General features: G+C 44.9%; 3 protein-coding genes across 45 annotated transcripts in view, besides 4 other annotated features; 1 reads left to right on the top strand and 2 right to left on the bottom strand.

Annotated features, from left to right (window-relative positions):
• The window catches only part of CNOT1 (CCR4-NOT transcription complex subunit 1), a 109876-nt gene extending 94359 nt beyond the window's left edge, over positions 1–15517 (top strand). For 2 of the 3 annotated variants that reach the window (NM_001265612.2, NM_016284.5), the window contains exons 40-49: positions 1073–1321; positions 3073–3236; positions 3393–3510; positions 5121–5222; positions 6820–6993; positions 9330–9479; positions 10109–10289; positions 11966–12098; positions 14151–14285; positions 14432–15517. In NM_001265612.2, the coding sequence (NP_001252541.1) occupies positions 1073–1321; positions 3073–3236; positions 3393–3510; positions 5121–5222; positions 6820–6993; positions 9330–9479; positions 10109–10289; positions 11966–12098; positions 14151–14285; positions 14432–14510 (1485 nt within the window). In that variant the 3' untranslated portion in view covers positions 14511–15517. Of the gene's footprint in view, positions 1–1072; positions 1322–3072; positions 3237–3392; positions 3511–5120; positions 5223–6819; positions 6994–7362; positions 7546–9329; positions 9480–10108; positions 10290–11965; positions 12099–14150; positions 14286–14431 lie in introns of all 3 variants that reach the window. The other variant, NR_049763.2, reaches the window with a different exon arrangement.
• SETD6 (SET domain containing 6, protein lysine methyltransferase) lies at positions 11626–19989 on the bottom strand. Of its 9 annotated transcripts, none has more exons than NR_134583.1 (9): positions 19904–19989; positions 19588–19677; positions 19371–19515; positions 19125–19266; positions 18796–18990; positions 18540–18660; positions 17237–17448; positions 16925–17067; positions 14935–16744 (listed from the first exon to the last, which is right to left on the bottom strand). NR_134583.1 is itself a non-coding variant. In NM_024860.3 (9 exons), the coding sequence occupies exons 1-9, from the start codon at positions 19928–19930 to the stop codon at positions 16439–16441; spliced, it is 1350 nt and encodes a 449-aa protein (NP_079136.2). In that variant the 5' UTR covers positions 19931–19989; the 3' UTR covers positions 14935–16438. The 9 variants fall into 9 exon arrangements, 8 of the variants coding, with proteins under 8 accessions (NP_001153777.1, NP_079136.2, XP_047290620.1 ...); NM_024860.3 differs by having other exon boundaries at positions 17237–17417; NM_001160305.4 differs by having other exon boundaries at positions 11626–16744; positions 17237–17417; positions 19371–19677; positions 19904–19951.
• Positions 18078–18247: an enhancer, noted in NCBI's record as "experimental_43903 CRE fragment used in MPRA reporter constructs". NCBI's record gives its function as "activates a minimal promoter by MPRAs in K562 erythroleukemia cells, with activity observed for the introgressed 16:58551210 variant allele {active_cell/tissue: K562}" and the evidence as "EXISTENCE:reporter gene assay evidence [ECO:0000049][PMID:34662402]".
• Positions 18897–19066: an enhancer, noted in NCBI's record as "active region_10930". NCBI's record gives its function as "activates an Ori minimal core promoter by ATAC-STARR-seq in GM12878 lymphoblastoid cells {active_cell/tissue: GM12878}" and the evidence as "EXISTENCE:reporter gene assay evidence [ECO:0000049][PMID:35858748]".
• Positions 19327–19986: a silencer, noted in NCBI's record as "silent region_7554". NCBI's record gives its function as "represses an Ori minimal core promoter by ATAC-STARR-seq in GM12878 lymphoblastoid cells {active_cell/tissue: GM12878}" and the evidence as "EXISTENCE:reporter gene assay evidence [ECO:0000049][PMID:35858748]".
• NDRG4 (NDRG family member 4) overlaps positions 20081–24957 on the bottom strand; it is a 51673-nt gene continuing 46796 nt past the window's right edge. For 17 of the 33 annotated variants that reach the window (NR_040072.2, NM_001378346.1, NM_001378339.1 and 14 more), the window contains one exon: positions 21849–24046. Coding sequence is in view for 32 of the 33 variants with exons in the window: in NM_001378346.1 (NP_001365275.1) it covers positions 23892–24046 (155 nt within the window). In the remaining variant the exon portion in view is untranslated. Of the gene's footprint in view, positions 20543–21848; positions 24047–24784; positions 24824–24957 lie in introns of those variants that run through there. The other 16 variants (XM_047434509.1, XM_006721256.4, NM_001378338.1 and 13 more) reach the window with 2 other exon arrangements.
• Positions 20107–20276: an enhancer, noted in NCBI's record as "active region_10929". NCBI's record gives its function as "activates an Ori minimal core promoter by ATAC-STARR-seq in GM12878 lymphoblastoid cells {active_cell/tissue: GM12878}" and the evidence as "EXISTENCE:reporter gene assay evidence [ECO:0000049][PMID:35858748]".

Genomic DNA, 24957 nt, shown 5'->3' with positions numbered 1-24957 from the left:
AAAAGATAGTGTATTATACTTTTCTGTGCTGTTTTGTATCCTTTTGAAAATTCTTTCCTTCTTGCGCTCCTCCTTGACCATAGTACTCAGTCCTAATATTCCTCACTCTCTGTTAGTTTTACAGATACCAGTGTAGACAAAAAGTCCCTTTGCCATGCTGGCATTCTGTCCCAGCAGGGTACAGTATTATCGTAGTCCAACCAGTTCAGTTGTCTTTACTGCTTATCAGGAACAGTTAAGTTGTTTCAAAAATTTCAAGATAACCTTGAAGTTTTTTTTTTCGGAACTTGGTTTCTGTGTTTAGTAAGTAGTGAACTGTTCTTCCTCTGTAGCCTTAATGCATATTTTACTGTTGTCTTTTTTTGTTTGTTTGTTTAAAGGGTTGAGGGGAACTAGCCAAATAACATTCCCACTGTGCTTCACTTCTAGTTCATATGTCATATAGTTTCTAATTTTTCCTTTCTTTTAAATAAACTTGTGTTTCCCACATTATTTTAACTTAATGTAACATTTTATTACATTAAAATACCTAGATCAGATTTGTATTTCCATTTGGTACTTACCTGTTGTACAAATTATTGATTTTTCTGGGGGTAGCTTGTTGGAGTTTTAAAATCTTTGTTATTGGTTAATTCAGTTTGAGGAAATTATCTTCAAATCCTTCAGAAGTAAATTACCTTAAATTCTGTGAGAAAGTAAAATATGTGCAATTTAGTCTTCTCCTTGGAGTCCACAATGTCTTAACATGACTTACAGTTAACGAACAGTTTGTTTTATTTGCATGGTTAATTTTTCACATTATTTGGTGGGGACCTACTGTTCAAAATTGCCATGATAATCTGTCTGTCAGTTTCCATCTTCCCTGTTCTACATTAAACTTAAAACTGGAGGAATTCTGTCATGGCACCTTAATGGGAAAATAATTCTGATAATACATTTATTACAATGTAAGAATTAGAAATATGACAGTAGGAACAAATGAGAATATCTCTTAAGCCTGAAAATTAAAGGTATATGAAGTTTATTTGTGTGTGTTACCTCATTGTGTCTTTATTTTTTGTTCCTGTTGTAGATGCACCAGCAAGGAATACTGAAGACCGATGATCTCATAACAAGGTTCTTTCGTCTGTGTACTGAAATGTGTGTTGAAATCAGTTACCGTGCTCAGGCTGAGCAGCAGCACAATCCTGCTGCCAATCCCACCATGATCCGAGCCAAGTGCTATCACAACCTGGATGCCTTTGTTCGACTCATTGCACTGCTCGTGAAACACTCAGGGGAGGCCACCAACACTGTCACAAAGATTAATCTGCTGAACAAGGTCTGAAATCCTTTCTTGCCTTAGTCTTGGTCTACATCAGTGGGGTGTTTTATTTATTTATTTATTATTATTATTTTTTATATTGTTTCTTTGAGAGAGTCTCACTCTGTCACCCAGGCTGGAGTGCCTCCGAAGTAGCTGGGAATACAGGCATGAGCCACGATTCCTGGAGCTTTTCTATTTTTAGTAGAGTCTTACCATGTTGCCCAAGCTGGTCTCAAACTTCTGGCCTCGAGTGATCCACCTGCCTTGGCTTCCCGTAGTGCTGGGATTACAGGCATGAACCACCATGCCTGGCCACATCAGTGGTTTCTTTTTATTTGAGATGGAGTCTCGCTCTGTCGCCCAGACTGGAGTGCAGTGGTGCAATCTCGGCTTACTGCAAACTCCGCCTCCTAGGTTCACACCGTTCTCCTACCTCAGCCTCGTGAGTAGCTGGGACTACAGGCACTTGCCAACATGCCCGGCTAATTTTTCTTGTATTTTTTGTTTTGTTTGTTTTCTGTTGTTTTGAGACGGAGTCTCACTCTGTCACCCAGGCTGGAGTGCAGTGGCGGGATCTCAGCTCCTGCAAGCTCCGCCTCCCAGATTCACGCCATTCTCCTGCCTCAGCCTCCCGAGTAGCTGGGACTACAGGCACCCGCCACCGCGCCCGGCTAATTTTTTATATTTTTAGTAGAGACAGGGTTTCACCATGTTAGCCAGGATGGTCTCGCTCTCCCAACCTTGTGATCCGCCTGCCTCAGCCTCCCAAAGTGCTGGGATTATAGGCGTGAGCCACAGCGCCCGGCCACGTCAGTGGTTCTTAACCCTATTGGGTCCCTCAAGTGACCCGCCTGCCTCGACTTCCCAAAGTGCTGGGATTACAGGCATGAGCCACCATGCCTGGCCACATAAGTGGTTCTTAACCCTATTGAGGCCAACCCTTCCCCCAAACATTTTGTTAATGTCTCTTTTCTGTCCTGAAATTAAATTTGTAAATAATATGTAAACATACCCGCTCTGTCTTAGAATATAGTGCCTTAACCGAAATACAAAAAGAGATCATAATGTATTTCAGTATGTTAATGCTTGGTAGTATGAATTTGCCCCATATACAGAATCACTGTGAGTGGGTGGCTAGACGTGCCTCCTGCTGATAGATTGGCAACTCAAGTACATGAGTGATATTAGTCATTGGCTTGATTTACACAGTGGAGTTCCTGGAAATTTGAATATTAAAACAATGCAAAAATACTTGTAAAAATGGACTGTGATTTTGGATTTGGGAAATTAGAGATGTGTTCTTCAAGCCCCTCACTGTTCAGTGGGCAAGTCAAGTGGAATGGGATCTCTGCAGCCTAACAGCTTTCCTGGCCCCTGCCTACTAAATGCCAAGATAGGAGTAAATCATTCCCACATGTCAACTTCATGTCAGACCAGACAAATTAGATTGTTATATTGTGTTAACATGGTGAAATGTGAGGGGCCTTGCTGATTTCTAGAGCTGAAGAAGAACCATTGGGCATTTGTGGAGAATATTCAGGTGTGGTCCAAGGATGTTGAAATGCAAAGAAACACACAAAACACTGAAGGCGGAGTCAGACCAATTTATGACCCTATCGGCTGCCAGCATGTAATTTTGTATTCAAATTGTATATATGCTTTCCTTTAATGTTGGGTTTAAGAATGCAAAGTTTAAAAAGCATGACATCGAAGTGGTGAGTGGATTATCTGAATGATTTACAAGCTCTGATTTGTGTTTTACGTAGGTCCTTGGTATAGTAGTGGGAGTTCTCCTTCAGGATCATGATGTTCGTCAGAGTGAATTTCAGCAACTTCCCTACCATCGAATTTTTATCATGCTTCTCTTGGAACTCAATGCACCTGAGCATGTGTTGGAAACCATTAATTTCCAGACACTTACAGCTTTCTGGTGAGTATTGTGTTTGCGATTTTGTGTTAAGGTTTGCTGGATTAATGTAGTAAAATTTTGGGAGTAGAACTCTTGAGCATTTTGAGCCTACATTCATGTGCTGTTCACTGTATTTAAGTTGGACTGTGCTTCTGACTAAGGTTTTTCTTCTTTCAGCAATACATTCCACATCTTGAGGCCTACCAAAGCTCCTGGCTTTGTATATGCCTGGCTTGAACTGATTTCCCATCGGATATTTATTGCAAGAATGCTGGCACATACGCCACAGCAGAAGGTGTGGCTGCAGTTTATCTCCTGTAGATGAAGACTATAACTACCTGGGCTTATTTATTAGCATTGCCTATAGATTTCTATTAGTCATTTAGTAGTAATTGTACTTCTTCCAAACTTAGTTGGGAATGCTATTTAGTGTTCACTCAAGTCAATTACTTGACTGCCTCTGCCTGAAAGCCATTCCTCAGTGATTAGGTGTTGCTGCTTCAACTCAGTTGTGGGCCACCTGTGTCAGTCTCTCAAGTTTTTTTTTATTGTTTTTTCCTTTCTTTCTTTTAAAATGTTTTGCTTCTTTATATACAGGAATGATTTATTTTACATATTTGTCAGTTAAGGGTTTTTTTGGGGGTAGGGGTGTTGTTTTTAAAGTTGAAATCCATGTGTGCCCTCATAAATATCTGAATAAATCTCTGGGTAACAGGGCTCTGGAGCTTGTTGGTTTTACAGACTCTCACTTTAAATGCGGAAGGCTCTCAAACTAAGGTTGAGGACTACTGGCTATGTTATTTTGAAGGATTATGATCAAGTTCTATTTAAGAGTTCATTATCTAATTGGTAATACAACACAGTTAACATGATAAGTTTTTTTCCTCCCATCTTGGAATTAAATTGGCAAATGAGTACTGCAGAAAGTACCATTCTTTGGCCCCTCAGATCAGAAGAAATGTGACTGCTATGTAATGGAGTGAACTTGACAAAGAAGGTGAAATAGCTCTTAAATGAAGTTTTGTTTGGTGGAGAAGGGCATTCTAGGAGGAAGGAACACAACATATTAAATGCAATTATCCAAGAATTAATTGAACATAATTGGTATAGTTGGGGGAGGGTGAGCAGGCTGACATTGGCTGAAAATAGAGAATTCATGTCGTGGACTGAACAAGGTTATTTGCGAAGAGTTGAGCTGGAAGAGAGAAAGGAAATGGCTGAGACTTAATAAGGAATTAAGAAAACACATTTCTAGTTGTCAGTTTCTGCAGTTGACTGTTTTGTGTTCTCTCGGAAGTTTACTCCTCTCCCTTTTTAAATTTTGCTACAGGTACACAGGGACCATTATGTCTTGAAATCTCTGGAGCCAGTTTTTTTCAAATATTATTTCCCACTATCTCCATAATAACTTGGTCCTTTTTAATCTTTTTAATGCCAGTCTTTTTTCTTTTCTTTTCTTTTTTTTTTTTTGATGGAGTTTTGCTCTTGTTGTCCAGGCTGGAGTGCAGTGCCACGACCTCGGCTCACTGCAACCTCTGCCTCCCAGGTTGAAGCAATTCTCGTGCCTCAGCCTCCAGAGTAGCTGGGATTATAGGTGCCCGCCACCTCGCCTGGCTAATTTTTTGTATTCTTAGTTGAGACAGGATTTCAATATGTTGGCCAGGCTGGTCTCGAACTCCTGACTTCAAGTGATCCACTGGCCTTGGCCTCCCAGAGTGCTGGGATTACAGGCGTCAGCCACCGTGCCTGGCCTTTAATGCCGATCTTTTGTAAAAGTACTTAACATTAGTATTCTCTACTTATATTAGCATGAAGAAGATAAGTCAGTGTAGCTGCTTGGGCGACTTGTAGTGGCTGAAAAACAGCTGAGTATAATTATGACTCATGTACATTTCTTTCTTTCAGGGGTGGCCTATGTATGCACAGCTACTGATTGATTTATTCAAATATTTAGCGCCTTTCCTTAGAAATGTGGAACTCACCAAACCTATGCAAATCCTCTACAAGGTAATTAACTTGGATTTATTATAAATTAAAATAACTGAGATCTTAAGAAAATACACTTTAGGAATCTGAGGCCTTATTTTGTTTTTATTAAGCCTTTGAGGCATGATATACATTCAGAAAAGTGTAAAAATCAAGTGTACTTGCATAACTAGCACCCAAATTGTACAGTGTTTGTATATGTTCAACTGTAGAAGATACTACAGTTTTACAAAGCGTTTGTACCAGTTTATACTTGTAAACAGCTTGGAGGAGTTACTGGTTTTCCCCCATCTTCATCTTGCCATACCTGGTATTATCTGTTTTTCATTTTAACCATTTTGGCAGTTGTACTGTGAGATCTCATTGTGGATGGAATTTTGTTTGTTGGTGATTTATCTTTTTTTTTTTTTTTTTTTTTTTTTTTTTGAGACAGAGTCTCACTCTGAAACCCAGGCTGGAGTGCAGTGGCGCGATCTCAGCTTACTGCAACCTCCACCTCCCAGGTTCAAGTGATTCTTGTGCCTCAGTCTCCCTAGTAGCAGAGACTACAGGCATGTGCCACCATGCCTGGCTAATTTTTTGTATTTTTAGTATACATGGGGGATCTCATTACATTGGCTACGCTCGTCTCAAACTCCTGACCTTAAGTGATCAGTCTGCCTCAGCCTCCTGAAGTGCTGAGATTACAGGCGTGAGCCACTGCACCCACCCTCCTTGATGACTTCTTAATGAGGTTTTCATGTGTAGATCAGCCATGGATATCACCTTTTTGTGATGCTCCTCTTCCAGTCTTTTGGCTCTTGTTTGTATTTTTATTTATTAAATAATTCTTTATATGTTTTAAATACAAGCCCTTTGTTGTTACTATATATTCAAACATCTCCCACTCTCACAGCTTGCCCTTTTACTCCCTTAAAGGAAGGGGGAGGTGTCTTTTGAGGATCAGAAGCTTTAAAATTTATTGTAGTCAAAATTGCAGATTTTTAAACTTATATTAAAAGTTGCTTTTTGTGACTTGTGTAGGAAATCTTTGCGTGTCTCAGTGTGCTAAGGTGTTCTATTTCCACTGATCTGAATTGTCAGATTTATGAGCATAAAGTCGTTTAATGTTCTGAAACTATTTTTTATGACTGTAGGATCTGTAATGTCATTCCTGACATTAATAATTTTTGTGTTTTCTCTGTCAGCCTTGGTTAGGGTTTATCAATTTATTTTTTCTAATAACTAACTTGGGCCCTGATTTTCTCCCTTTTCAGTACTTTAAAAAATTTATTATATGCTTTTACTCTACTTTCTTTGGTTTTCATTAGTTCTTTTTTTTTTTTAGCTTCTGAAGATAGACGCTTACATCATTGTATTTTTATTTTTTGTCCAGTCTCCTCTTCTAGCATATTCATTTCAGCCTGTAAACTCTTGATGCCTAGTTTTTCATGATACCTAAATGGAAATATTTGATAAATCATCTGTGATAATGTTAATTAAAGCCTAAAACTTTTTAAGAAATGTTACTAAAGTATACTTCATTCTTTTGAGGGGGGTGGGGGGCTTAAGTTACAATAGGAAAATGTTACTCCATTTTCCTTAGTGTGGAAATATTTTTCTTGTTTTTTAAAAATAGGGCACTTTAAGAGTGCTGCTGGTTCTTTTGCATGATTTCCCAGAGTTCCTTTGTGATTACCATTATGGGTTCTGTGATGTGATCCCACCTAATTGTATCCAGTTAAGAAATTTGATCCTGAGTGCCTTTCCAAGAAACATGAGGCTCCCCGACCCATTCACTCCTAATCTAAAGGTAAGGTTCCAACTAGTTAAAGGAAAACTTATGTCTTAATATTTCAGTCCTTTCTCTGATAAGTAGACTGTTCAGCACTTTCCTACCCAACATAACACGCACACTATTAGTTAAGGGTACTCTTTAAAGGAAATAATGTTATTAAGCCTGATAGAAGGTATGATATTGTTGCTATTGCTGTTGCTGGTGAATATTGGTTCACAGCATTTTTCTAGTTGCTAGTTTTCATATTAATTTTGATATTAAATTTAGCTCTATTTACAGAACCACAGCTTAGGTGTTGGGGCAGTCATTTGCTGGGTGTGCCCCACATGGCAAAGAATTGCAGAACAAACAGACCTTTGTAATCTTTTTCTTTTTTTGAGGCAGAGTCTTACTCTGTGACCCAGGCTGGAGTGCAGTGGTGCAGTCTCGGCTTACTGCAACCTCCCCTTCGCTGGTTCAAGCTATTCTCCCGCCTCAGCCTCCCAAGTAGCTGGGATTACAGGCACTCGCCACCACACCTGGCTAATTATGTGTTTAGTGGAGATGGGGTTTCGCCATGTCAGCCAGGTTGGTTTTGAGCTCCTCACCTCAAGTAATCTGCCTGCTTCGGCCTCCCAAAGTGCTGGGATTACAGGTGTGAGCCACCACGCCCTGCCATAGTCTCCATATTTCACAGTTTTGTGTCTGTGCACTTGTGCAGTTGTTCCTTGGTCCCTTGCTATTCTTGGAGGATTGGTTCTAGGACCCACTGGGACACCAAATTTTAAGTATGCTTAAGTCCTGTATGTAAAGTGGCATATAACCTTTGCATATCCCCTTAAATGACATCTGTAGTGCTTATGATACCTAATGTAGTGTAATGCTATTATGGAAATAACTATTTTAAACTATATTAATAACTTTTTAAAATTTGTGTTTTTTATTGTTGTATTATTATTTATTTGTATTTATTTATTTATTTTTGAGACAGAGTCTCACTCTGTCACCCAGGCTGGAGTGCAGTGGCGCAATCTCAGCTCACTGCAACTTCCGCCTCCTGGGGTCCAGTGATTCTCCTGCCTCAGCCTCCCAAGTAGCTGGTACTACAGGTGCCCGCCACCATGCCTGGCTAATTTTTTTTTTTGTATTTTTAGTAGTGACGGGGTTTCACTAGTTGGCCAGGCTGGTCTCAAACTCCTGACCTCACGATCTGCCTGCCTTGGCCTCCCAAAATGCTGGGATTACAGGCATGAGCCACTGCACCCGGCCTTTATTGTTGTATTATTTTTTATTGACCCCATCATCTACCTCTACCTTCACCCCCCATATTTTCGATTTGAGGTTAATTAGATATGGAACCTAAGGGTATGGAGAACCCACTGTATTTTTTTGTAAGTTGTTGGAATAAAGGAGAGAGAGGACCACTTAAAATCTCACCACCCTGACATGGCTACTATAGTTTGTTTAAGAGACAGGGGTCTCGTTGTTTTGCCCAGGCTGAAGGGCAGTGACTATTCACAGGTGTGAACATAGTGCACTTCAGCCTCAGGCTCCTGTGCTCAAGCCGTCCTCCTGCCTCAGCCTCCAGAGTAGCTGTGACTAGAGGTGCACACCACTAGAAGTGCCCAGCTATAGTTTAGATGTAGTCTCTACTCTTTCTGACACATGCATTTTTTTTTTTTTTTTTTTTTTTGAGACGGAGTTTCGTTCTTGTTGCCCAGGCTGGAGCGCAATGGCGCGAGCTGTGGCTCACTGCAACCTCTGCCTCCTGGGTTCAGGCGATTCTCCTGCCTCAGACTCCCGAGCAGCTGGGATTACAGGCACCACACCCAGCTAATTTTATATTTTTAGTAGAGATGGGGTTTCTCCATGTTGGTCAGGGTGGTCTTGAACTCCCAACCTCAGGTGATCCGCCTACCTCGGCCTCCCAAAGTGCTGGGTTTACAGGCGTGAGCCACTGCGCCCGGCTTCAATTTTTTTTTTTTTTTTTTTTTTTTTTAAGGAGTAAGTGTGATGTCTGGTCTTGCTGGGGCTTCTTTTCAAAGACTCTTGGTGAGTGAGGAATCTTATTCCGGATTATTATTTTGAAACCGAAGTCCAAGAAAAATCAGTTAGTTGTGCAAATTAGACCTTTGCCCAAAAGGTATCTTGCCTCTGGGAAGGAAATACATTATAGAGTGGGAAATTTTTATCATTTTGAACCAAGATTCTTCTAAAGAAAGAAAGACTGATTAATAAAATGTGGCAGCTGTGCTCTTCAAGGCATTTATAGTGTATATAGTTTTAGAAAAACAGTCCCACCACTTAAGCATAGATGTAATTTACTAATAAAAATGATTCTGCTTGTGATTCTTGCATTTTATCTGTGGCAGGTGGACATGTTGAGTGAAATTAACATTGCTCCCCGGATTCTCACCAATTTCACTGGAGTAATGCCACCTCAGTTCAAAAAGGATTTGGATTCCTATCTTAAAACTCGATCACCAGTCACTTTCCTGTCTGATCTGCGCAGCAACCTACAGGTTAATTGGTTTGGCTTAAAACTCATCTACGTCTTCCATATAAAGCACTTTCTATGTATGGTCCTGTGTGTGGTCCATTTGGGAGTTAGTCTTTTATTGTCATTTCCATCAATTGGGTGAGGTTGATTAACTGGATTTACGTATTTTACTAGTTCATTTAATCAGTGATATTTTGCTACAGCTTTGGACAAGACAGCACTAGAAGAGTAGACCACAGACAGTCATTAGCTGTTGGTACTCCTAGGATTTTTCTGAATACCTGGATGCTGATTTACATTTCTCTATAGGATATTTTGGAAAGTTATATATTTACAGTCTGTATATGCCATGCAACTACAACTTTCTCTCCAAATCTTTAATTGGCACAGTGCATATTTTGATTTTATAAACTTTACTTTAGAGCTGTGCCTTGAGCTTCGGCTTCCTGAGGGAAATCACATTTCTCTTATTGATACAACCACCTTTGGAGCATCTGTGTGTTTGTTAAATAACCTCACAAATTCAAGCAAGTGAATCACAATAAATGTTTGGCCTTTCCATGAAGGTGTAAGAAGGGTTTAGAAATACTGGTGCTAGAATTGGTCCTCTGCAGGAGTAAGCATAAGGAGTTCTGTTTTGCTCATTTTAAGGTATCCAATGAACCTGGGAATCGCTACAACCTCCAGCTCATCAATGCACTGGTGCTCTATGTCGGGACTCAGGCCATTGCGCACATCCACAACAAGGGCAGCACACCTTCAATGAGCACCATCACTCACTCAGCACACATGGATATCTTCCAGAATTTGGCTGTGGACTTGGACACTGAGGGTGAGTGAAGCCTGCCAGTTTTCAGAGTAGAGTTCTCTGTGCTTTTTGCTACAATCTGATCACAAAAATGTAAAAATGCTTCAAGCCACAATAGTGAAGGAATGTTCTGTCAGTATATTTATTCACAGGTCTAGCTGATTATTTTATCTTTAATTGGACATTATCTGCTCAGTGCAGGAAATACAAAAAAGCATAAAGGAAAGAATTATCCAGAATCGTGCAGTATCAGTTTTGGTGTATGTGACTGAAGTTTTTTAGTGTGAAAATAAACTTAAAGTCCCTTTAAACATAGCCTCTTGTTACATTGTTTTGTTAGGCTGCCTTATATAAGCATTTTTATTGGTGCGTGTTTGGCAGGCATCTTGTTAAATGTTCATGTATAAAGATTAATGAATAGGACTCTCCTGTTCTGCAAAAAGCTCACAGTATAACTCCTGTTGCAGGTTGCAGCTTTTCTGCTTGAGCTACATTTCATTTGGTCCTCTATATTTATCTTATAAAATAGAGACCCCAGTTAGGTGCTAACTAGTTGTACAGTCCTGTCCAGTTTTGCATACATATATTTTAGGGGGACACTACTCTTTAACTTTGCTATTGATTCTTGAGAGATGAATTGATGTTGCATATATGCTGCATGCCTATATGTGGGATGGATTTAAGACAGCTTAAATTCAAGATATAACAAAATTGAATACCATCACGTCCAAGAGCTCGGCAATAAAAGGACGGCAGCCTTTAGAGAAACGTGTCACTGTGACAGACTCACAAACACGAATAATGTCAAGCAGAGGCAAACAACCAAACCCAATTAAGATAATACTTATTCCAGTGTAGTTTAGACTAATCAAAATGTGGGCTGGGTACCCTTAGGGTGTCAAGACCTTTTTAGGAGGGCTGTGAGGTCAAAACTTTTTTTTTTTTTTTTTTTTGCGATAGAGTCTTGCTCTCACACCCAGGCTAGAAGGCAGTGGCGCAATATCGGCTCACCATAACTTCCGCCTCAGGGGTTCAAGCGATTCTCCTGCCTCAGCCTCCCGAGGAGCTGGGATTACAGGCACACGCCACCATGCCCAGCTAATTTTTATGTATTTTTAGTAGAGATGGGGTTTCACCATGTTGGCCACGCTGGTCTTGAACCCCTGACCTCAAGTGATCCACTTGCCTCAGCCTCCCAAAGTGCTGGGATTACAGGCGTGAGCCACCGTGCCCGGCCCAAAACTGTTTTCATCATAAAACAACATTTACATTTTTGGGTCTATTCTGTCATGAGTGTACAGTTGAATTTCTCAGAGGTTACATGAAATATACTGTAACAAGTTGAACACAGAAGCAGAAATGAGAATCCAGCTGTCTTTTATTAAGCAAGACTTAGAGATCTGCAAAATGTAGAAAGACTTAGTGATGAGTGTCACCAGAAAATAGTTCATGTTTCTTACATTAGCACATAGTGGGTCTGTTTTTAAAAATGAATATTTTTAAAATCTAATTTCTAATGTGGAAAATTCTGAAATAAAACGCACAGAAATGAGAACTCTTTGGGGTCCCAAGAACCACTGCTTTAAACCAAAGATTAATTTGAAAGCCTCTGTCAGAAACCCAAACCCTAGCCAGTTAGAACTGTCTTCCCATGTTGGCCTTTCAGACTAAGTCCTAAGTCAAGGTTTCTTAATTTCTAGGTCGCTATCTCTTTTTGAATGCAATTGCAAATCAGCTCCGGTACCCAAATAGCCACACTCACTACTTCAGTTGCACCATGCTGTACCTTTTTGCAGAGGCCAATACGGAAGCCATCCAAGAACAGATCACAAGGTAAGCGAGCAGCTTATTTTTTAAATGCTTCAAAAGGATCTCCTCCCTTTCATCTTTTTTTTTTCCTCTTTATGCTTTCAGTGTTCAGTGAAAATCCGTTTGGTTGGTTTTTTTTTTGTTTTTTTGAGACGGAGTGTTGCTCTGTCACTCAGTCTGCAGTACAGTGGCGCCATCTTGGCTCACTGCAACCTCCGCCTCCCAGGTTCAAGCGATTCTCGTGCCTTAGCCTCTCAAGTAGCTGGGATTACAGGCGCCTGCCACCACGCCCAGCTAATTTTTGTATTTTAGTAGAGACGGGGTTTCACCATGTTGGCCAGGCTGATCTTGAACTCCTGACCTCAAGTGATCCACCCGCCTCAGCCTCCCAAAGTGCTGGGATTACAGGCGTGAGCCACTGCACCCGGCCTTCAGTGAAAATCTTTTACATGTCCAATAATGTGTTAAATGTGGGATACAATTGTGAGCAAAATGGATGGTTCCTGCCCTCTTAATACTCATTCTGATGGACATTTATCACAAGATAGGGAATTATAAATCGCAATCATGGCTTAAATGAAAAGTAGTTTACCACAAGGCACATTTTGATTAAAGGTCAGGAGTTTCTCTGAGGTGGTGGTGATAACCAGTCCTAAATCATGCAGGCCTATGAAGTCTATGTTAAGGAACTTGGACTTTTCCTCATTACCTCTGGGTTGAAAGCAGTAGCAATAACAGGATCATACTTGCATTTTCCTAACAATAGTTAGGAATCTGTTGCCAGATTGCCTAGACTACATATAGCATTAGAGAGATTGTGATACACACACACACACACTTTAAAAATTGGGCCAGACTCTTAAAACTTGCTCATTTGCCTAATTAGTCACCTATGGTGCTAAATATGGTATTCCTTTGATTTGTGTACTAAAATTTAATATCTTATTGGATGCTTAGATGATGATGATCCATTTTGTTTATATAAAGCTGCAGTAAGTCTCCTTGGACTTGTAATCTTTGTTATGCTTCATGTACAGTTGGTACGTGAAAGGATATAAAGTTAAGCCAATGCTTACTGGCATTCGGAAAAATTTTACCAATTTACATGTGAACTAGCAATGTTAGCTTTTTTTTTTTTTTTTTTTTTTTTTTTTTTGAGACAGTCTCGCTTTGTCGCCTCCTGAGTAGCTGGGATTACAGGCACCTGCCACCACGTCCGGCTAATTTTTTGTATTTTTAGTAGAGACGGGGTTTCACCATCTTGGCCAGGCTGGTCTTGAACTCCCGACCTCGTGATCCACCCGTCTTGGCCTCCCAGAGTGCTGGGATTACAGGCGTGAGTCACTGTGCCCAGCCTGCAGTGTTAGAATACTTAATTCTTATTTTCTGTTTCCTTTTTATTGAGAGTGAGCTTATTTATTTATTTAATTTATCTGTTTATTTGAGACAGGGTCTCACTCTGTCTCCCAGGCTGGAGTGCAGTGGCACCATCTCGGCTCACCACAACCTCCACCTACTGGGTTCAAGCGATTCTCCTGCCTCAGCGTCCGACTGCTGGGATTACAGGCATGTGGCCACCATGTCTGACTAATTTTTATATTTGTAGCAGAGATGGGGTTTCACCATGTTGGCCAGGCTGGTCTCGAACTCCTGACCTCAGGTGATCCACCTGCCTCGGCCTCCCAAAGTGCTGGATTACAGGCATGAGCCACTGTGCCCGGCCTGGGAGCTCATTCTGGAAATTACTACTTTTTGTACTAACTTTGTGTGCCATGTACTCTGGGCTTTATGTGGCTTCCTCTCCCCCATCACCCCTTATTCTGAACAGCTGTGAGGTAGATACCATTATCTGCACTTTATATAAATACTTAGTCTTCTACGGCTAAGAGCAGGGTTCAAACCCAGGTATTCCAACCTGTGCTATTTGGAGTATATTAATCCACCTGTCTTTACTAAAGGTGAAAACTTTTGCATGTGGTTCAATAGTCAGGGAGAAGTTAGAAAAAAAGTAATGGAAGAATAATCATGAATTTGTATGCTTCTATACATTAACTAGCTCTTTCTCCCTTTTTCCAGAGTTCTCTTGGAACGGTTGATTGTAAATAGGCCACATCCTTGGGGTCTTCTTATTACCTTCATTGAGCTGATTAAAAACCCAGCGTTTAAGTTCTGGAACCATGAATTTGTACACTGTGCCCCAGAAATCGAAAAGTGAGTTCAAAGTAATTTTTAATTGTCTAGGAATGAGACTGGAGACTGAAAACCATCTGTCTCTAGGTTGGGTCAGCTGAATGAGATGCAAGGTATTGTTAGGCCTACTCTTTAATCAGAGATTTGTAACTGTCTTCATCCTTCAGGTTATTCCAGTCGGTCGCACAGTGCTGCATGGGACAGAAGCAGGCCCAGCAAGTAATGGAAGGGACAGGTGCCAGTTAGACGAAACTGCATCTCTGTTGTACGTGTCAGTCTAGAGGTCTCACTGCACCGAGTTCATAAACTGACTGAAGAATCCTTTCAGCTCTTCCTGACTTTCCCAGCCCTTTGGTTTGTGGGTATCTGCCCCAACTACTGTTGGGATCAGCCTCCTGTCTTATGTGGGCACGTTCCAAAGTTTAAATGCATTTTTTTGACTCTTGGCCAAAATTTAGAAGATGCTGTGAATATCATTTTGAACTTGTGTAAATACATGAAAGAGAAAACCTTTGTCTGGAACTTCTTGGCTTTGTGCAAGCTGTGTCCAAGGCAAGTACATAAACTGGTACCTTGTAATGAAGAGGCAGCTGATGCCATGCACTTGTCTGAGGGCATAGCTCCATGTCTTCTGACATTCCTGGTGTCCCAAAGAATAGCAAAAAGCCAGTTTGAATATTATGTAACTTATTTTTTTAATGTGGACAGGGGACCTTGAAAATCACTAAGTTATTAAAAATGTGGATGTGCTAGAATTGGATATGTCCAGGAACATGGGAAGGGCTCACTATTGGAATCCCATGAGTTTCCATTTTGTCTCTACCCAAACGTATTCCAAAGCTGACTGCATTTGTACCATCTTATTTCTTTTGGGGATTATACACCTCAGCCGCCTGAGATGGGGGTCAGCTCTTTATATAAAGGGAAACCAGACCAGGCCTAAAGCCCACCCCTACCCTCACCCCCCCAATCCTCTCCTGAAACTTAAAAACAGTGGGAATATAGGAAAGGGAACCAAATCTCATTAATTAATTGTTCTCCCCCATTACCCCACTGAATGAATGGCCATACAGGCTAAGCTGAATAATGACAAAGTTGAAAGGACCAATACAGCCCCTTTTATAAGGATTTTGAATGTTTTGCAAATGTATTGGTCCCTGTGTTGTATTTTGTAGCCTTTTCCTGGGCTTCAGCTCCCCTACTTCTTGTATGTGTATGCATACTGTAGCTAACCATTAAAGTCATGACACACACATGAGTCCACTGTGCCTTTCTCAGTAGCAGCAGCCAGTGCTGGTGGTGAGGAGGAAAAGTGGACAATCCAGCCCTGCAGACCTTGGGGCCATGGGGAACCACCAACTAACTTCTTGCTGAATGATTGATTGATTGATTGATAGGTCATTCCTACTACTAAGCTGGCATGTTTAAGGAAATTGTATTTTTCTTCCTATTTATTTCAACACTGGACAAATGCTGGAGCAGGTTTATCTGGTTAAGCTGAGTTTAAAATACCCAGTTTTAATATCCTTTTCCCCCAGGTATTTTTTTTTTTTTTTTAAAGAAAATGAGTAGATACGTATTTAAAAACTTAACCCACTTAAAATTTGCCTTACCTTTCATGACTGTCAAGTTTTATGGCCAGAGAGGACAAAACAGTTCAAAATTAAATAATTGAAGTCCTCCTTGAGTGATGTCTTAGGGTTTATTCCCTGAGAGGTGGTTTGTGCCATCTAGACTGAACTTTGGGTAACTATCGAGTACCAGTTACACAGCTTATTAAATCCAGAGTCTTTTCAATAAAGGTTAAGTGACTTCCTCAAACTAGACTTAGATTTAAACCAGGGGTCTACCTCCAAAGTCTATTATTAAATGCTGAAACACAACAAGACTTACTTATTACTACCGTATGTCCACTGGCTTTGGTTAAAACTGAGAACAAAACATCTGTAACATGCTTTAAGTAACAATTAGCAGTGATTCCCAAGTCTGCTGTTCTCAATCCTAAAACACATCACCCTTACCTGAGTTAATCCTAGCACACCAACTTTGCTACTTTTCCTCTTGGTGTTTAGTAAGCAAAAGAAAGATCCAAATTTTCCTCTTTTTCAAACATCAATGAGTATTAGCTTAGAATAAAGTTCTTATTGCTGTTCCTTCAGGGAACAGGGAAACTGCTAACTTGTCAGCTCCAACAACTGATGTAAGATCATCTTCTGACCATAGCGAACCTGTAAGGCTTGCTGTTCCCTCCAGCTGAGTTTCGCATAGACTTCCTTATTACTGAGTAAACCTTGGTCAGTTTTTAAGTCTGTGGCATAGGTCTGCAAAGTCAGTAGAACACTGTTTTGAAGCAGCTGTCTCCACGATGCTTTGAGCTTGGGAATATTTGTGATCGTCAGGCTGCCCTCTTCCCTTTTATCATCTCCCCCTCCATCCTGGTCTTTAAGCTCTCTGAACTCCTCAGCAGGCATGCACAGTACCTAGAAGCAACCACAGAGCTCTTTAATTAGATGTACTGCTTTTGTACTTCTGAAATGACTCAGGAGACTAAACTCATCTTAGCATTTATTAAAAATCCCACATTTCCTCTCTCATCTTCTAGCTATTTTGCTTTAAATACTTAGATTATCAGCATTAAATGGCCATTTTCAGCCGTTTACCTTTAGTGTGGTGGTCAGCTCCTCTTCAGTCAGCACCTCCTCCCTCCCTATCACAAAGGCTCCCTCTTCCCCTACCATCTCCAGTTTGCATAGGAAATCCCAGCGCTCGTACACTAGGTGCCTTTCAGCTTCAGTTTTTGTTCCTGTAGATGAAACAGCAATGTGAAAGTCTCAGTACACCCAAGGGTTCATTTCTTCTTTAGTCTGCCACCCAGTCTACAAAGTCAACTGCTATTTAGCAAAGCTATTTAACCTGAGGCATGGGTATAGACACACCATCAGTGTCAAATATTGAGTTAATGATACACTCACCCTGTAATGCTGCCTCACGAACTGTCACCATCTGAATGTCAGCTGTGTCATCTGTGTTGTCAGGATATGGTTCAACAAAACCGTACATATGAATCAGTTGCCAGTTAGCCATTTGCCCATAAGTGTTGAAAATCTCATGGCCTTTAGGAATGGGCTGAGTGGCTACCATCCGAAGACAATTCTGAGGTGAAAGGGAGAAGCTGGGGCCATGCCTTTCACGGGCCAGCCCCATGAAGATTATTTCCACTTAAGAAGAGCCTTCAGCAGGTGTAGTTCAGCCATGACTGATGCTGTTAACTACCAAAGTTCTACCTTTAGTTCCTGTTAGACCCTAAACTGTGAAACAAAAAAGGGTTGGGCTAACTTTAAAAGGCCAGCTTCATGTTTAACTGGGTGGATTTCTGCACAGTCCTCTTCAGCACTTAAAAAGTTGCTAGCTTTAAAAACGAAATTTTCGGCCAGGCGCAGTGGCTCACACCTGTAATCCCAGCACTTAGGGAGGTCAAAGTGGGCAGATCACCTGAGATCAGGAGTTCAAGACCAGCCTGGCCAACACGGAGAAACCCCATCCCTACTAAAAAATACAAAAATTAGCCGGGCATGGTGGCAGGAGCCTGTAATTCCAACTACTCGGGAGGCTGAGGCAGGGAGAATTGCTTGAACCCAGGAGGCGGCAGTTGCAGTGAGCCGAGATCACGCCACTGCACTCCAGCCTGGGCGACACAGTGAGACTCCGCCTCGGGGGGGAAAAAATGGAACTTTCGCAGATCAAAGTGGGAAAGGAAAATGGAGGCAAGGATTAAGAAATAACCATACTTACTAATTTCTGATCCTATAAATGTGCCATCTTTTCAGGCTACTTTTTATATAGAATAGAGCTGGTATAAACACAGCTTTATATCAGTTCTAGGATCGTCTTAGACCTTTGGCCTGTGAATGTCCTCATCCCTCCAAAACACGGAGACTATCACTGTTCCAGGCTGCTATCCACAGAGCCACACACAGTCTGGGCTCACTGATGTGATCAGCCAGAAAGGAATGAAACATGGCTATGCAGACCACTCAATGTCTAGCACTAAATAAATGATGGTAGTATAGTTTATCAGAGGATTAACCACAACTTACTTTGAGGACTTTAAAATGTTTCGCATTCAAATGATTCTACAGTAATATGCATACTAAAAGGACATACAGGAGGAGCTGATTTCACCTACTCATTTTGTAGCACTAGTAAGAGAATGGAGCCTAAGACACAATGGCTTGAATCATGCTCAATCAGTGCACCAAGAGAAACTCCACTCACCGCAGAGTATTCTAGATTGGCGTTGTGATTGGCTAAGTGGTTTAGTATGTCTGCAGCAGGCACCATCACGGGGGAGTTGGGCTCCTTTTCATCCTCTTCTTCCTCCAGTGGTTCCTGAAAGCTGCCATTGACAGAACCTGGCTAAGGCCCTGTCTTGGGTGAGGGACTGGGGGTGGATTTCACTGTTTTTCCACTTTTGTCCCTCTATAGAGTTGTAAAGAAAAGGGTTCCGTCCTCAGAGGCCCCACCCACTGACCTATAGGCCATCACAAGGGCCACCAGCTGGTGGTAGAGTTCTAGGGAGCGAACCCTGAGGCTGAAGAGATCGGGGTGGGCTTCCATGAAGGGCAGCACGATGGACTGGTACTCGCTGCGGATGTTGGCCAAATCCTTCTCCACGGCCTCAGGTACGCCTGTGCCCTGGAGCAGGCACCGGCGCTCCTCCTCTGGCCTGCAGGGACACCCACACCCAGGTTCCCTTCATTCCTTCACACACTTTACTGGGTAGGACTGGTGCAGGGGCGGGGAAACTTCTTGCAGCAGGCTACGGTGCAGGCGCTCCCCAACCCCTCCCAAGGCTCTCACCAGAACATCGGGTGCTCCAAGCGGCCCAGCTCGGGCCAGAGCGCAAAGTAGGGCCTCCAGCGTGAGGCCGGGGCCTGCAGCTCGTGGAGCAGCGCCAGCAGCAGTGGCACCCAGCCCGACTGGCTCTGCAGCGCAACTCGCTCTGAGGAAGACACAGGTGTGAGCGCCCCGGCGCGGCCTCGCGGGCCGGGCCCGCCCCGCCCCGCCCCGCCCCGCCCCAGGGCCCTAGCCCGCCGCCGTGCCCACCTCGCTCCAGCAGGCCGCCGATGGAGCAGGTGTGCTGCGACAGGAGCGCGGCCCGCGGCACCACGAACAACAGCTCTCCGGCCTGCACGCTCTCCCGGGCCACCATGCCGTAGCCGGCCACCGTGCCCTGCCGGCTGACCGCCACCTGAGCAGGAGGGCTGGTCAGGGCAGCCCGCGCCCCGCCGCGGGTCCTCCGCCCGCCGGCTCGCTCGCTCACCTTGGGACTCAGCTCCAGCCCCACCCGCCGGCACCAGCTCAGGAAGCAGGCCACAGGATCCAGGTCGCCGCCGTCCACGGGCCCCGCCACCTGAGATAAGTGCGCGCAGTGACCAGGTCCGACCCCCAGAGAGGCCGCTGGGAACTGCAGGAGACCGCGGCGCGAGCGCAGAACGGGCTTTGGGTGGAGGAGGGGACGAGCGGAGAGGGGCGCGGGACCCGCGGGAGGGAGCGGAGGGGGCGCAGGCGGACGGTTCTGCGAACGGAGAAGGGGTGAGGCGCGGAGGAAAAGGCTGGACCCCGCGCCCGCCACTCACCCGTGGACGCTTCGCCTGGGTCGCCATGGTCTAAGAGCGCGTTTCCTCGCGGGCCGGCGCACCGCGCGGTCACTTCCGGCGTCTCTGGCCCCGCCCCGGCGCCGGAACCACGTGGTGCCTGTTTTGTCGTCCACGCTGCAGACTGGCCGGAGTTACCGCGGGCTGGAATCGTTCCTCATGAAAACATCTTGAGTCCAGGATCTCCAATTGCACTCACGCGCTGCGAGTGCAGAAGGAGAGTCCCGTGCCGCTTGGCGCCTGGTTCTGAGCCAGGTACAGCCCTGGCCTTCGGTCTGTCCCCGAGGGCTGAGGCTTCTTGCGGTCTGGGTGCAAGAACAAAATACGGTTTCTGGATCGGAAGCCGAGGGTCTGGTGGCCGGCCGGTGGTGAGCGACGCAACTGGGCGGCGAGCGACCTCCTGATCTCGACCCCTTGTTGCCGATGGCCATGGAACCCTTTTACTGGTGGTATTCGTTCAGAGCAGTTTTCGTGTGTGTTTCAGAGTGGCGTGGCCTAGAGGGCTCCTGGATCTAGAATAGATCCTCTCTGCCCTTATTTGCCAGTACATCCTCGTTTTTAATCTGCTGCATAGCACGTGGTGGGTTTTATTAGCTGACATAGTAGGGACTCAATATCTACCTATTGGGTAAATAAATGAATAAAACAAATGGTGGTTAAACCTGGGGAAGTAGCATGCTGTTAAATGTAAGAAAATGAGGCTGTGAATATAGAGGTTACAGGAATGGGTTTTGAAGCCAAGCAACGCCGCAGCTCAACACTCAGTTTTTTTTTTTTTTCCTTTTTTTTTTTTTTTTTTTTGGCGCGTTGGGGAGACGGGAGTCTCGCCCAGGCTGGAGTGCAGTGGTGCGATCTCGGCTCACTGCAACCTCCACCTCCCGGGTTCAAGCAATTCCCCTGCCTCAGCCTCCCAAGTAGCTGGGACTACAGGCGTACGCTGCCATGCCCAGCTAATTTTTTGTGTTTATTTTTAGTAGAGTCGGGGTTTCACCGCGTTGCCCAGGCTGGTCTCGAACTCCTGAGCTCAGGCAATCCCCCCGCCTCGGCCTCCCAGAGTGCTAGGATTACAGGCGTGAGCCACCGCGCGCGGCCTGGTCTGTTACTCAGGCAAATCCTTTTTCCTGAACCTTAGTCTCCTCACCTGCGAAACTAAGATAATACCTACTCTGTAGAATTAATGTAAGGATTGGTATGTTGACTAAAGAAAAAATATTAAGCTTTTAAATAATTAAAATTAGTTTTATTTAGAAGCCTTATTGAGGACTATAGACTGAGGCCTGTAGCCCAGGAGTAATCTTGTGAGGCTCCTCTAACACGGTATTTTAGTTTAGGTTATACATAGGTGAAGATTTAGTATGTGTAAAATCATATCAAAGTTTAGGGATAAGTATATCTGGTTATAGATTGCAGAGTATAATCATTAACCCTGTCAGACATGATCGTATGTTTAGGAGAAGGCAAAGAGTAGGTCATTTATCTTTGAAGGAATGTAGTGACTCAGGCAAGAGATTTGGAGGGCAGGGGTGTTTTGTTTTGTCTTTAAGGCATTTTTTTCTGGAGAGCTGTATTTTGTTTTTTTGTTTTATTTTGAGGCAGAGTCTTGCTCTGTCATCCAGGCTGGAGTGCAGTGGCACGATCTCCACTCACTACCACCTCTGCCTCCTAGGTTCAAGCGATTCTCCTGCCTCAGCCTCCCGAGTAGCTGGTATTACAGGCACGCGCCACCATGCTCAGCTAATTTTTGTATTTTTAGTAGAGACGGGGTTTCACCATGTTGCCCAGGCTGGTCTCGAACTGCTGGCCTCAAGTGATCTGCCCGCCTCAGCCTCCCAAAGTGCTGAGATTACAGGCTTGAGCCACCGTGCCTGGCTGAGGAGAGCTGTATTTTGTCACAGAGTCAGGGGAGAAATGAGCACATAAGCAGAAATGAGCACATAAGGCTTTTAATGTTTGTGACATTCTCATCTCACCGGTAAAATAATGTGACGTGTACTGGAAATAGAAAGATGGGTGGAGACCATCCTCTCCTAGCACCCTCAACCCAAAACCCAAGCAGCACCAGCAGCCCCTGCCCAAACATTCTGTTTCTCCAAAAGCCTCCCATGATGGGCATGGCATCACCACACTGGAATTCTTCTTAGGTTCTTTATTAGTTTTTCAGCACAGTTAACTCTTTCTACGTTGACTAGAGTTTTGTTTTACATTTTATCATCTCATGACAGCAGCCACCAGAATACACAAAATTAGGCTCTTTACTTTGTGCGGAGAAGAAAATAATAAACATTAAAAGTTCACCTTGACCAAAGAGACAACCTCCAGAAGAACACCACACATGGGAGGACCCGATGTACACACACACACACACACACACACACACATATAATGTATAGATATTTATAGATACATCTGGAAACAGCAAAAAACAAAATTCCAAGATTTGCAGTGTTATCTACAGTAAGAGGGATGAATTCTACCAGCTTTCAAACAGTCACATTCAGTATTCAGAAGAAGCACATGAGGGGGTAGAACTGGGCAGAAACTAACACGCCACCAGGCTAGTCATGGCTTAAGATTATAGAAGGGGGGTGATGTGTGTAGAGGAAATACGCATATAGGTGTCCTCTCAGCCTCAGAACACCCGCCACAACCCTTCCCCCGTCCACAGCCCTGCATGTTTTCACTGCTCTCTCCCGTTTTGGGGTTTGTGATTATTGATTTAGGGTCTGAGACAAATGGCTCTGGTTTCTGGGCCGCAAGATGCTATGGGGTAAGGTGAGTGGATGGAAAGCATACAACGCAGTCCTGGGCTTCAGGGGACAGCAGGAGGCTGGGGTGTAGGGGAAGCCTTTCTCTTCTACCTGACCCTTGTTCATGTCCAGAACCTTCAGCCCCCAGTAAGCCCCAGCCCAGGCGGCTATGGGGTGTGGGACTGTAGAAGCCTCGCTGCCTTGGGCCAGTTGACTAAATAAACTCTCTCTTCCTTAGTGATGCGTCCGGGACACACTGGCACAGCCTGGCCAGAGCTCTGCCTGAAACACCACACTGCTACTGATGGCGTTGCCCTCTGGGGAACCTGGGGGCAAAAAAGGGGTCTCCAGGAACTCAGCTACCCCTGCCTCTGGCCACCTGCGGGCTCCCAAAGGCAGTCACCACGAAGTTCTCAGGGGCACACACACCACACATGGGCTCTCTCCTCCTTCTCCCTCACCCCCAGTCAGGTCACTGTGGGGACAGAGGACCAGGCAACTTCTGCCTCGGGGAGGCCTTGGCTCAGAATTGGGACAGGGCCAGGAGGTGGCAGAGTGTGGGCTGGAAGGGACAGTCTGTGGGGTTCCTGCCCTGACGGTTCTCCATGTTCTGTCTTCCTTGGGCAGAGAAACCCCTTGACGCCCCTGCCTGCGTGGCCCTACAGCACCAGCTGGGCCCAGAGAGCACCAGGAAAGTGGCTGCCTGGTCCGAGCGCCCCCTTGTGGCTGTTGTCCAGATGATTGTCACATGTGCTATGAGACAGAAACAGGTGTGCTTGGTGGAGGGTGGGGGAAGGGGTCTCCCAGGGCTCCCACGCCAGTGCCTGAGCTGGCCCCGCACCCCTGTGGCCCAGCACCCACCCTCTCGAAGCCTCTCTCATCTCCAAACATGCCTGCCCAAGGGCTCACCCAGGAATGGCCTGGATCCGTAGCGAATCTCCCTCCCTATGGCCCTGCCCTTCTGTGCCTGGGCCGCCGGGAGTGGGATGAGAGGGGTCAAGTTGGCTAAGTTACCACGGAGAGTGAGATGGGATGAGGAGGACTGAGCCCCTTAAAACACCTGGAGACTGTTCTGCTGCAGCATCTAAGATCCCCTCATTTTTTTCAAACAGAACCCCATTTCCTCCCCTTTGCCCTCACAAAAATAAACTAAAGGGAACATGAGCCGGCGCAAGGATGGCGGTGGGGCCTCGACGTGGGCGTCGTCAGCGGGATCAAGGGCTTCAACAGGACACCTCCATGGTGTGGTTGACCTGGCCCAGCCCCTCGCTGCTCTCTGAGTGGGTGCAGGCCTGTGGGCGGCTGCCATCCACCGAGCTGGCACTGGTGAGGGATGCAGTGCGGGAGCGTGCCAGGCGGGTCATGCTGGCTGAGGGCACTGTGGACAGAGACAGGATGGGCCTGAGGACTGGCGGGCAGGGCCAGGTGCCTCTGGTGGGAAAAGTAGGCTGCAAGCAAAGCGGCCAGCGAACCGTTCCTCGAAGGCACAAAGGGCTCCTCCTGAGTCAGGAGGCTGGCGACAGCTGTCGGGCTGGGGGCATGCAGGGCCGGCGACAGTGAGTGGGCCTAGGGGGCTGCGGCCAGCAGCTGACCAGGCAGCCCTGAGCTGGTGCAGGGAGGTGCTGGGTTTCCAGCCGTGCCTCCCTCAAGAGGATGCCAGTGGAGAAGTAGGACTGTTTCTGTAAAGGAGGACGCGGAGCGGTGGTCGCATACTGCCCTCAATTCAGACTGTGCCCTAATTCCCTAATTCAGAGTTTCACAAGCAAGACTTGCGGGCAGCAAACTCTACCCTCCGGAACTCTCCTGGCCACCTATGTGGCTCAGGCAGGGCCAGGCCTGGGCTCTACCTCTAAGGAGGGTCTGTTTCCTATCCCCAGAGCTCTGGAAGCCACGCAGCTCATGACAACCTAGAAGCAAGACTGCTCTGCAACCCAGCCAACCTAGAGGCCAAGCCTGCAGAAAAGCAAGAATCTGTGGGGTTTCTGAGTTGAACAGGACACAAGAAGGTTCCAAACCACAGCAAGATGCGGCCTGGCTGCAGCACACTGCGCAGAGGAAGGAGCGGGGGAGGAGGAGGCTGGGCGTCCATGCATCAGGGGAAGGGCCGTGGGGCTACCTGCTCCTCCACTCAGCCTTCGGTCCTTCAAGTACGCAACTAAGAGAGAAGACAGAGCCGGAGAGGGGGCGGGGATGGGGGAGACACAACACAGTGAAGAGCGTGGTCCGCTGAGTCAAGGGCATTGAGATGAGCCAGAGAGATGGGACAAAGGACAGGCACAGAGAGGCTGG

This window comes from Homo sapiens, chromosome 16, assembly GCF_000001405.40.
Source record: "Homo sapiens chromosome 16, GRCh38.p14 Primary Assembly".
Classification (NCBI taxonomy): Eukaryota; Metazoa; Chordata; class Mammalia; order Primates; family Hominidae; genus Homo; species Homo sapiens.
The sequence above is the reverse complement of the archived record's forward strand: the minus strand, read 5'-3'. Positions and strand labels throughout refer to the sequence as shown.